Source organism: Homo sapiens, chromosome 7 (genome assembly GCF_000001405.40).
Source record: "Homo sapiens chromosome 7, GRCh38.p14 Primary Assembly".
NCBI lineage: Eukaryota > Metazoa > Chordata > Mammalia > Primates > Hominidae > Homo > Homo sapiens.
The window spans coordinates 57,516,945-57,530,260 of NC_000007.14; the positions used below are offsets into that span (position 1 = coordinate 57,516,945).

Consider the following 13,316-nt stretch of genomic DNA (forward strand, 5'->3'; position numbering starts at 1 on the left):
AGAGAAGTGAAAATGAATTCTAGGGGAAAATATAAACAGATACACAATAATAAGAATGTGAAGATATACCCAGAAAACCATGAGTTATCTGTTTTGAGGGGAGTAAGATGTCTCTTCAAATATATGAAAAATAAGAATAGAAAGGGTCCTTCAGGCTAGACTTTAGAAAACTATCAATGTCTGAAAAAGAAGGTTGGGCCTTGGATCATAAGCAGGGTCACAAACTGAAGGGTTTTAAAAAGTGAGAGACATGATCAACGTTGTATTTCTAAAAGTGATTCTGAGGTGGATGGTTTTGATTGATTATAAAGGCAGATCTTCAAATGTTGAAATGGCAGGAGCCCATTGAGCAAATCTAGTAGTCAGTTCATAAAATCCTGAGTAGGCATAGAAATGGGAATAAAAGGAATTTTGGTGGCTCAAATTGAAGGGAAAGACAAATAAAGAAGTGTTAGAAGTTACATCAAGATTTAGAAGTGCTGGTTGGAAATAACATTAATAAAGATAAGAAAATTTGGAGTCCTGTGTGCATGTGTGTGTGCTTGTATCATCTCTCCATAGAGTGAAGCTGAAAATATAATTATCTTCAAAAACATTTAAGAGAGTATGTTTCCAAATGGTTATATAGATTAATGACAGATCTGCCCAATAGCCAACAGAACAATGGGACAATAATCAAACTGTATGGTAATTAACTCATTTTAAGAGTAGGTGACATTGGCTAAAAATCAAAATGCTGAAAGTCAGAGAAATGGAATAGGCATATAAGTCCGGAATAGAGAGAAACATGTTAAGCAAGGACTGCCCCATGTTAGATACTAACATGGGAGAAGTTGAGAATGTGCCGAGTTAAAAGGTGTGAAACTTTTACGTAGAAGGAAATAAAAGTAAAACCTAAAATAGCAAAAAAAAAAAAAAAAAAAAAAAAAAATCATAGGTGATATGGTTTGACTCCGTGTCCTCACCCAAAATCTTCTCTTGAATTGTAATAATCCCCGCAGGTCAAGGGTGGGACCAGGTGGAGATAATTGAATCATGGGGGTGGTTTCCCCCATGCTGTTCGCATGATAGTGAGTGAGTTCTCAAGAGATCTGATGGCTCTACAAGAGGCTTCCCTCTTTGTTCCGCACTCATTCTCTCTCCTGCCAAGCTGGGAAGAGGTGTCTTCTCCATGATTGTAAGTTTCCTGAGGCCTCCCCAGCCATGTAAAGCTGTGAGTCAATTAAATCTCTTTCTTTATAAATTACCCAGTCCTCAACAGTTGTATATAGCAGCATAATGGACTAATACGTTAGAATTTTTTATGAATTCTTTTTTATTGTGTTATAGTTACCCCAAGAAGAGAAAAATAATAAAAAATACACATTACTTGAAATCTTTGATTCACTGCTTGGGTCAAATGGCTCAACGCAGATGTTGTACAGCTTCATCTCATTATTGTTGTATTATTTTTCAATCTTCACTTCTCAAAACTATATTAAACATTTCCCACTTTCATGTGAAGTCTGGTTAGTTGTCTATAAGAACAATAGGATCCTCTATTATTAAAAAAGAATATGAATTTCTCTATATTTTTAATCTGATTTCTAAAATGGGTAGTGTATATTTAGAAGAGCCTTCTCAAGCCTTTGTCAGAGATAACTGTATGTTGTATTTTCCCTAGCAAAGGGCTAATTTATAGAGGGGAACAACAAGTGCTGGCGCCTTTTTGAGGGTGGAGGGTGGGAGGAGGGTGAGGATTATGAAAAATAACTAATGGATACTAATGGGTACAAGACTTATTAACTGCGTGGTAAAATAATCTGTGTAACAAACCCCATGATACGTTTACCTATTTAACAAACCTGCACTTGTACCCCTGAACTTAAATAAAAGTTATAAAAAAGGTAGTACTAAAATTTCTAAATATAATAAGATTCTGAGTGACATGTGACGAGGAAGGAGTACTATGATTTGATGAGGCAGGTCTTGAATGACAACATATTTAAGGTACAGATTTCTGAATTGATTGAGAGAAAAAAATGATTTGCATTTCAAATTCATTCCTCTTGCTAGAAGTGTCTTGGTCTAACTAAATTATATTGGTTTCCAAACCCAGTACAACTTTCTATCTACAAGTGACCCTTAGAAAATGGGTTTGAATTGTGTGTGTCCACTAATACATGGATTTTTTTCCAATAAAGGTTACAAGTGTGCCTGCTCTCCTGCCTCTTTCAGCGCCTCCACCTCTCCTGCCTCTGACACTCCTGAGACAGCAAGACCAACCCCTTCTCTTCCTCCTCCTCTTCAGTTTACAAAACATGAAGACAAAAAGGATGAAGACCTTTATGATGATCCACTTCTATTTATTAAGAAGTAGATATATTTTATCTTTCTTATGATTTTCTTTATAATGTTTTGCTTTAGCTTTATTTATTGTAAAAATAAAGTTTATAACACATTTAATATACAAAATATGTTAATTAACTGTTTAAGTTTTCAGTATGGCTTCCTGTCAACATTAGGCTATTATTAGTTATGTTTTCAAGGAGTCAAAAGTTATACTCACATTTTCAACTGTGCAGAGGGTTGGCACTCCTAATGCTTTGCATTATTCAAGGTCAACTATATTTCCTTTAAGGTAATTAACCATATTTCAACATGGTTAGTCTTATTAGCTATTCTTCTTTTTGATTTTTAGTACATTAATTGTAAAGATATTCACTTACACATCATAGTTGCTCAGTGAATGGCTGAATGACTCACGGAATGATTGCATGAATTAAAGACGGCCAATATATCTTCTTATGAACTTTGTTGGATCAAAGTTGAAGATTATAATTGCTCATGTTTAAACATTCTCAAAAATCTTGTGAGAATTAACACTGTTGTTATAAATTTTTATTTCAAATGCTCTTTTAACAAATGTGTTCCCTCTGATTCCTAAAACAGCCTTGCTGGGAACAAGAGTCTATTTTACTGTTCCTAGTTTATAGGTAAGGTAATTAAAGCTCCTTGGAAAAGTTCCTTGACAGTGCTAAAGGCTAAAACCTGGACAGACCTAACTATATACAGCATTCCTCACTTCCAGTTTTGCTATTATTCACCAAACCATGATTATTTCATGCAATGGAAACATTGAACTGGACAATACTCTTAAATTTCACTTATTCTGAAAGACATTTACTCATCCCAGCATTCCCTAAATTCAAAGGAGAACTTGAATAACAACCTGGAAGACTCAACTACCTGACAGTTCCAGAGCTGACAATGATTTGGCTGGCTTCCAGCAGACACTTCTCTTTAAGTGTTACTTCACTGAACAAGACACTATATGATAATGCTATTTCACTGACCTTCCCCTGCTTCCTGCCATAGGCTTAAATTATCTGCGATTTTTGTGAAAACAGTGCAAACCTCTGTGGATAAGAGCTGAAAAGGAGTATCATTTAATGAAAATCAGTGATAACTCGATGAAAATTGGTTAAGAAAAGTCCAATGTTTTCAACTTACTTAAATGGAATAATGAAAATGTTTTCAGATATCTTTTGTTTTGATGTGAATAAATAAATCATTTAAAATTTAAGTTTTAACAAGTAAATGGTTATACCATCCTATATCCTGTTTAATATGTTATTTTTATGCCAGAGTTCAGCTTAAGTATCATGTAGAGCTATCAATACTGATGATCTACAGTTTACCTTTCAGCCGGGTGCAGTAGCTCATGCTTGTCATCTCAGCACTTTGGGAGGCTGAGGCAGGAGGATCACTTAAGGCCAGGAGACTAGCCTGGGCCACATAGTGACACTCCATCTCTACAAAAACAGAACAAAACAAAATAAAATAAAAAACAGAACTCAGATCTACATTAAAAAGGAAGAGTATTTGAAAAGAAATGAAGGTAAAATAAAATTTATCTTTTACTGACTGATTTAGGAGAAGATTATAGTTCTTCATTAGCAATTGTAAGACAGAGGCAAGAGTCTATGTTGGTGAGGAAAACATAAAATTCTGTTTTTTACTCTGAAGATTATTATTGGATTCTCTCTCTCACCTTGCCTCATATTTTCTCTGCCTATCTGTCTCCAACTCTCTCTCTCTCTCAAATGCAGTATTCCTGTTAATTGTGAAGTACCTACAGATACATATTCTCTCTAGGCACACATCTGTAAATATAATTTATTTGTTGTATAAAGAAACATATCTCCAAACACATATAGTATTATAACATGTAATTTTAGATTCAAGTATGTAAAGCATTTTTCTTAATTTAAAATTGAAATCATTTTGAAAATTAGATTTTAAATATACAGATTGTCCAAATTCAAAGAAACAGCACTCATTCATTTAAAATAAATCTTATTTTTATACTTGGGATTTTTGCTAAGAATTCATTTGTTTATCAAAATATGTGCATTTAGCCTGATTATCTAATTACCCTCATAATGAAAAGAACATTTAAACTCAGTAAATATGAGGATATTTTCAAAACAACTCCAATTTTTTAATTACCTTGCATACATTTTTTTGTATGTGAGACGAAGTCACATGGCACATCCTACTTTTGTGACCACAGCATATTTTGTAAATACTTGTTACAGCAAATTGATGTCTTACTAGCACTGAAGTTAGTATTGAAATACTGATGACAGTTAATGCTAGTAATCAAGTCCTGATTAGTCACCCAGCACTTCCATACCTGGAGCACTATTATTGTTTATTGAGACATATTTTGGTTCAGTATTGGAACATTTTGGCCCTAGGTATGTTATGGAATACTTAGATTAAACCCAAAACAAATAGTTGATAAAATTTAAAAAAAATCATATGTCATTTTTTCTTATTAAAATAATTTAAAGGCTGCAAGATTGCTGTAAAATAAAACAATTATTTAATATTTTAAATACATTGAAAATAACAGAGGTCTACTTATAGCCTTTAGAATTTGCCGTTTTGTGGGGGAAAAAAAAACCGCACAAAACAGAATTTAGCTAATTTGTGCCTACCTCAAAACAGGTGAACTCTCAGCTTGGTTAAAATAATGTATAATTAATATTTCTTTGTCATTGCTTGTTAATTTAGGTTATTAAATATCTGCTATTCATTAAATTCTAGGTCATTCCAAACTGAAACCCCTTTAGAAACATCCTGCTTTTTATTTTCTTATAATTCTAACTTTTATTTTACATTCAGGGGATACATGTGTGCATTTGTTATATGGGCATATTATGTGATGCTGAGGTTTGGGGTACAATTGATCTTGTCACCCACATAGTGAGCATAGCACCAAATAAGTAGTTTTTCAGTCCTCCCTCCCCTTCCTTCCACCCCTCTTTTGGAGTTCCCAGTGTTTATCCTTCCCCTCTTTGTATTCCTGTGTACCTACTGATTAGCTTCCACTTATAAATGAGAACATGCAGTATTTGGTTTTCTGCTTGATTTTAATCTTAAGCTTTATAGTCAGTATGTCCCAACCTTACAAACCAGTACTTTACTTTAGTTCTTCAGTAAATATGAGAACCACTCATAATATGCAACAACAACAGAGAAAGGAAGCTTTAATATCATTTATGGATTTCTTATTTTTCTATCATTAATTTTGTCCTCTGATAGACTGATTTTCCTTTATCCTATTTTTTAAGTTAAATATATTCACATACTTTTAAAGCAGATAGATATATAATATATATATTAAGATTCATATTGTAACTTTCTCTGTTTACTTGTTAAACAAATTTATGTAATATTAAGTAGGTAACTACAAGTCTGCTTATACAAGTCATGTCTTTAAAGTAAGTCATTTTTCTTTAGTGTAATTTTATTAGTCAGTTAAATAAACATTATACTTTTACAAATATAATTGTAATTATGAAGCTCCTGTGTGTATATATAATGCCTTATCTTTATGTTGTATTTTATTTATAAGTAACTACCCTAAATATCTGATTTCTGTAAGCCATGTTTCTGAAATGCATCTCTCAGTTAAGTCACTCTACCAGACCTAAAAGATGATTGCTAAATAAAGATATTTAGAGAATTGCTTAGAAATTACAAACTTCCCCACTGCACTTTGCTACTTTTATACCACCTACCATATTCTATGCAACTCACCTGTTAAGATTTATTACTATAAAGGTATCTATTCATGGTTTTCCATTTCAAACACAATATATGTAGTAATTTTAATTCATTTCTGAGAATGATCTCATCCATTCTGCTCATGGGGAAAGTATTATATTAGTATGGTATATAAAGGGAAGTGTTGACAACGGTGGTGGAATTTTTCACAAGGAGGACAACAATATGGAAAACATAAGAATGGGGAAGAGGAACTAGTCTTACATCCACTTTAAAGAAAGATCATAGGTGTTTTAGGTAAAATGTAATCTTCTTAGTTTGACATCAATAGCCTTTGATAATCATTTCCCATATAACTTTTCAGCCATAACTATTTTTTCAAGGACCTTTCCTCAGTCCATTATATTCTTTTCATCACCAGCTAGTGCATTTCCATTCATCTTTCAATATCCAATTCAAATGCCAACTCTGTGACACCTTTTTGTATTCTGCCAGACAAAAATAATTGTGTTTCTTCTGACCTCTCCTTGTATATTTCATGGAATATGGCAAAGTACTTAATTCCACTGAACTGTAGCTACTGTCTTGCTGTCTTACCAACTAAAACAAGGACATTTTGGGGAATATGAGAATTTAAATTGAATAGTAACCACAAGATAAAAACTCTGGGCATTGCACGATCTTCCTTTTAACTAATTAGAGGCCAAGTATATTGATGAAAATCATTATATAGAATTTGATAAGACTTTCTTCTAATATTGTTTTATGATTTTTCATGTTTCATAAAATTTTGACAGAAATATATTTCTTATAATTTGTCTTCTTTGTAACTCCCCTCTTTTGTTCCTACAGCAACATGCTGTCCTGGCTAACGTGTTTATGAATGCAAGAAAACTTTCAAAAAGGGAGTTTGAAATTTAACTCCACAAACTACTATCTGGATTGGAATGCTACATTAAATGTATTATAACTTTGTATGGACTTATAGGGATGGGGAATGAAAAGGATCCAAGGCCCTATGTTGATATTCTTTTGATATGTTAAGAAATAATCTAGTGTTATTTTCTATTTCTTCTCAAATGTTTTTAGAGGTTACTTGGTACACTGGTCGACAAAACCTTGAAATATTGATGTTTAAGGGCTGCTGATTGCTGGCAGCAAAGAAGTCCAACTGTGCTGGCACCTGAGATAGCGTCTCCACATTTTCTTCCAGGATCATCACCTTTGTTCTAAATAGCTCCTACACAGTGTGAATATTAGTCATATGTTTTAGATTTTCTGCCTTGGCACCCAGGAAACCAGTATGATTGAGTAAACATATTAAACTTCCTCTGCATTTCCAGCCTGAACAGATGTTGAGTACGAGCTGATCCACCTATGTTCAACCCGAGAGAGTCCACATCCACAGATGGTTTCATTTCCCTTTTTCAATGTATGTAAAAGCATAGATTCTTGCTGGCATGTATAAATGTGCCATTTAAGGCAATCAAAAATGGTTCCACATCTCACTTGATTTCCACAATTGTTGCTGTAACGATGGACTATTGAGGAGAGAAACTTAATTTCTCTGGCAGATCTTCCCACATTTAAGCAACATGTTCATGGAGAGCCAATATTCAGTAATTACAGCACAATTCCTCACAATTTCACAATTCGCCAACAGTATGCATTTTCACAATGTAAAGCTGATTTTCCTTTAACCAAATGAAACATGAAAAGGTAGCTGCATGCAATGGGCAATCTAGGTCATTAGATGATTGATGTAAAATTAGAGGACATTGAGACTAGAATAGATTGCAAACATCGGGGAGCTCAGAAAACTTGTAAACTCTACATTTTGAGGAAATATGTTGTTGATGCTTTTGCAGCTCTATGCAGCAACCTAACAAATAAAGGCTTAAAATAACTTATCTATGAGTTACTTTGTCATTATTTGCAACTATTTCACATCATACAGCTTCTCTAGGAAGTCCTCAGCTTATTTACCAAAACAGAATTTCTAGTTATAATTCCATTCCTCTGTTGATACTATTTCTCTTGCCTATGAGACAAAGAATCAAAACCAAGTAATCAAAAATGTAGAATATTGTAGTGGTTATGTTTAACTTTCTAATGTTGTGAATGCTATCTCATCAAATGAATTATACAATTTAACAGTCACTATGAATAAGCATAAATTTACAGATTATGCCAAGTCTATATATTATAAGTAATCATATATTCCAAATATTATTTTTTATGGTAATGAAAGGCACTATGTATTGAGCACTTAAATATGCATAAGCATGATGCTAATCTCTTTAGCTATTTCAACAATAAACTGTGTAAATACTGTAACCTACATTCTTTTTGAAGCACAGGTAGTTATGACATGGGTAGTCACATTCCGTATTCTTTGTAGTAGGGGAAGGTTAAAGAATGAGGCAGAGAGAGACACACACACAGAGAGATATGGAATGTACATGAGAAATATTCAATCTGATAAATTATATAATAAATCTTCACCTAACATACAGTATTATGACAGCAACGGACTGGTGGATAAAAGGAGCATTTCTATTTAAGTACCACTGAAACACTTAATTTTAAAATGGTACAGGCTTGTTAGGTCAAAAAAGAGAAATCTAAGCTCAAGTAAGGAAACAGCATGTAGAATTTGACAAAGTTATAAAATGGATAATTTTTTTAAATTTTATTATTATTATACTTTAAGTTTTAGGGTACATGTGCACAACGTGCAGGATTTTTACATACGTATACATGTGCCATGTTGGTGTGCTGCACCCATTAACTCGTCATTTAGCATTAGGTGTATGTCCTAATGCTATCCCTCCCCGCTCCCCCCATACTATGTAGCCATAAAAAACGATGAGTTCATGTCCTTTGTAGGCACATGGATGAAGCTGGAAACCATCATTCTCAGCAAACTATCGCAAGGATAAAATGTATAACTTTATTTCATGTCAGGGAATACAAAAAAAAAAAGAAAAGAGAACCGGAAGATTCAAAAGTACAACAGACCAAAGCAACAGGCTTGTGGGTGGTTAAAAAAAATACTCCCCCTGGTTTGTGGGCACAGATCAGTGAAAAATTTTACCTGGATGATAGATGTGAGAGGATTAAGAACACTTGACAAATGCAACCTGCACTTTCCTGTTTCGCCTAGCCCTCCTGCAATTAACCAGGACCATGAAACAAGCTGTAGCCAAACAGCTGTGAGTAGAAATCATATGTGTCCCTTTGGGTTAGTAGAAAACCCTCCAGTATTCTGTTCCTCTGCCAGGGCAATGAGGAGACTTTGTGTTGAGACTGTGGAACCGGAAGACAAAAGCAACCTCAATGAATTCCTGTGTAGCAGCCAAATCCCCCGAAACTCACCCGGACTAGAGTGATTTTGTGAAAGCAAGAAGTAAAATGTTTGATTGCTGCATCTGCAATGCCAGTACTATCTTGATTAGTACAAATTATCAGAAAGTAGGAGAAACAAGAACATGAGCGTTCTGGCACCATCGTCATTGGTTGTGAAACAGAACATTATCTGTAACATTCCATCCTGTATGGTAGTGAGGGTTTGTTCTATTTGCCAATGTTTAGAGCCACAGTAGTGTATTTACATGGGTTCAGTTGGATTAACCAGTACATATTCATTTTCTTTAGATGGATTTAAGTAACAAACCTACCAGTGTCATTAAACAAATGGACAAAATGAGCAGTGGAACATTTTATGCTTATTGAAAAATGAACAAATATTATTCTAGTAATGAAAGCTCTGAGTGCAATACAATGTCGAGATTGAAGTGGTTCTCTCCTACCATTTAATGGATAAGTTCTAGAAAAGACAAGTGCTGTAAACAAAACACTATTTCCATGGCAACACATACTTCAGCTTTTAGCCTTTCATCGCACAAAAAGAATTTTAAAACATTTTTTATTTTCATAGTTTGTAATAACAATAGTGACCTCTACATCTGGTATTTTCTGGAAGCTAGTAATTGGCAATGCCTCAGGCCTTACACTTTTTGGCCAATCTTCTAGGAGAGCGTTACCCAGGTTTCTCATTACTTATAAAAATTCAGTTCATTTTCCAAGGGCAGATACTTAAAGACAAAATTAGCCCAGCCATATATTTTGAAATGCATATTTTAGAAATAAATATTTTAAGTGTCAGATACACTGCTCTCTGAGTCAAACAACTGTATATGCACATATGCTGTGTGTTTGTGTGGGCATGTGAAGACATATATATGATTGTGTATGTGTATATGTAAATTATTTCTTATTAAAATTTCTGGAAGTGACAGTATAAATAGCCAGTGATAAAGCATGATAAAGTATAGATGTAAGAAATATTGTGTCTCTATTGACACACAGCATTATTACTATGAAATCTGCAGATTAAACAAAGCAAGTGAATTATTTTATGGTTTGTGTTGGTTAGGAATTTAGCTGACTCTTCTGCTTCAGAGCCTTACAAGGCTGCAATCAAGGTAGCAGCCAAGACTATGGTCTTACCTGAATCTCAGCTGGGGAAGAATCCTCTTCCATATTCATATGGTTCCTTACAGTATTCATCAAGTACCTGGAAGGCTGTTACCCTGAGGGCCTCAGCTTCCTGCTAGCTGTTAGCTGATGGCCACACTCAACTCTGTAAGCTGTGATCCTCTCCATGTAGCAGCACAACACATGACAATTTATTTATTCAAAGCCAATGACAGAGAGTCTCCCAGCAAGACCAGTTACAATCTCATGTAATGTAATCATGTTCACATAATCCCATGGTCTCATATTTGCCATTTGCTACTGTTAGAGGTAACTCAGTTCCTTCCCACACTTAAGAGCACAAAGGTGTTATGGCCAGAAGGTAGGGATTATAGGAGCCACACTGGAGCCTTATAGCACAGAGATTTTCACCTAAGTCCACATGATTAGAAATTATAGGAAGACAATCTTGTGGATCTCAAAAAATAAATGTTTGCTTATTCAGCATCATAAAATGTAAGTAACTGTTATGTGGCAATTAGAGATTTTGTAAAATTGTGTTACAATTACTATTTATTCCCTTTCTCAAGGAAGTAATTTATAAAAATTTCACTAAATACCAAAAATAACTTTTTGTATTATTAATTTTTACCTGAGACTATACATTTTTAGAGGCATAAGAAAAGAAATATAGATACACCAATAACCAAAAAGTTCTAGATTCAGATCCTGGCATAATTATTTTTGAAGTTTGTAAAACCTTTTGCAAAGACATAATATGCCTGATTATTAGTTTTATTATCTATAAAATAAATATAACATGTGCTTGGTATGCTTATCATGGATTTCAAATATTATACGATTTGAAAAGGCCTGCTTTACAGTAGCATCTACTTAAATGACTGATAAATTATTGAAACAATACTTCATATATATATATATAAGAATATTTAAATTCACATATTAAATTTTCATATACTGATTTGGAAACTGTTTCCTGTTTGGTTAATAATTATTTGAATTTCTTATACTAGGTGAAAGCCATACCCCAACCTATTAGAAATTAATTAATTTCTGCTAGGGAAAGATACAAGGTAATAATATAATCAGAATTATATGTCTATATACTATGCTCAGAAGGAATACATCTCACAGAAATGGCAAAACAATTCTGCCACAGCTGTAAAATTATGTAGTTTATCTGATTTGACTTTCTTGTGCCATGAAGAACTTGCAGAAAATATAATATTAATTAAAATACACATAAAGAGTTTTGCTCATGAAAGAAGAAAGTTATATTTTGACATCATTCCAGCTCTGGTTAGGATGCTGGATTCCCTGGAGTAAATGTGGGAATCTGCTTCACTTGAAAAAATACCTGAGCCTGTCTATTTAAGGAATTACTAAATATAGAGTTTGGAAGTCAGGCTTTTCTGAACTATAGATCACTATGGCAGCTCTATAACTATATCATAGTTCCATAAGTCAGAGGAGTGTCATTTTCTACGTTCTCGTATCTCATCTTAGGGGGATGCTCTATGTTGACTACTGATAAAACTGCTGGTACATTCGTTCTTTTCTGCTTCTGTACACCAGGGATAGCAAATGCTCCTCCAGGTTCATCTTTACTAAGTTGGGAGTGGTTGTGAAGGATGGCTATGACAACCAACTGGAGGTCCGAAGGAGAGCACACCACCATCAACTCACTCTGCCTGCCGCAGGGAACGATGGCGGCCCATATGCTGCCAATCTAACAAATGGCCTCCAAGCATGGTGACAGCTGTTTGTGCAGACTCTGGAATAACAAATTACAACTTCCTCATGCTTTCTATTAATCTGGCATTTGAAATGTACTATGGACTGAATCGTGCCCACCTTCCCCAATTCATATGTTGAAGTCCTAACTCCCAACGTGACTGAGTTCATCAAAATGGATCTTGGTACAGAGAAGAGAATGCTGCTCTAACAGGTACTTAAAATGTGGAAGCAGTTTTGGCACTGGGTAATGAGAGGGCAGTAAGAGATTTGAGGTGCATGCTAGAAAAAAACCCACATTGCCAAGGAGGGACTGTTGATGGACATTGGCTATGAATGGTGACTCTGATGAGGGCTCAGAAAGAAAAGGAGATAGAAAGCCTCCAACTTCTTAATGAAAACATATATAATCACGAATATAATTTTGGTATAAACATGATATTAAAGGTCATTCTTGTGATGTCTCAGACAAAAATAGGTACAGATTATTGAAAATTGGAGAAAAGGTAATCCTTGTTATAAAGTGGCAAAGAGCTTGACTAAAATATGTTCCAGTGTTTTGCAAAAAATCAAAATTGTGAACAATGAAATTAGACAGGTAGTTGAGGAGATTTCAAAGCAAAATGTGATGGTGTGGCCTGAATACTCCTAACTGCTTATAGTTAAATGTTAGAACAGAGATTAATTGAGGAAGGTATTGTTAAGGGAAAAACAATCAAATGTAGAAAGATGTAGAAAATTCTCAATCTGAGTGTATTGCAAAAAAATGAGAAGAGCATGTTCTAAGAGAATACCAAAGGTATAGCTAGACTGTCACTTGATAAAGAGCTTATGGAATAATACAGGCAGAAACACTGCCGGCTTGAACTGATGGGGATGGAGATAAGATAAAGTGAAGGAAGCCTGAGGGTGTTCTCAGATTCTACAGGACAAGACAACAGAGTTATTTCACTGCAAACATACACTGTTTTTCAAGAGAAGGGAAAAATAACACTGCAGGCAATTCAGAATTATCAGGGTCACCG

At 34.3% G+C, this 13,316-nt stretch overlaps 1 long non-coding RNA gene across 1 annotated transcript; it reads right to left on the minus strand.

The window, feature by feature from the left end:
* Window positions 1–1,068: 1,068 nt before the first annotated feature.
* Window positions 1,069–3,710, minus strand: LOC105375300 (uncharacterized). The gene is made up of 3 exons (XR_927306.2): window positions 3,681–3,710; window positions 2,549–2,613; window positions 1,069–1,517 (listed from the first exon to the last, which is right to left on the minus strand). It is a non-coding gene; the product is annotated as an uncharacterized LOC105375300 (long non-coding RNA).
* Between the last annotated feature and the right edge of the window lie 9,606 nt (window positions 3,711–13,316).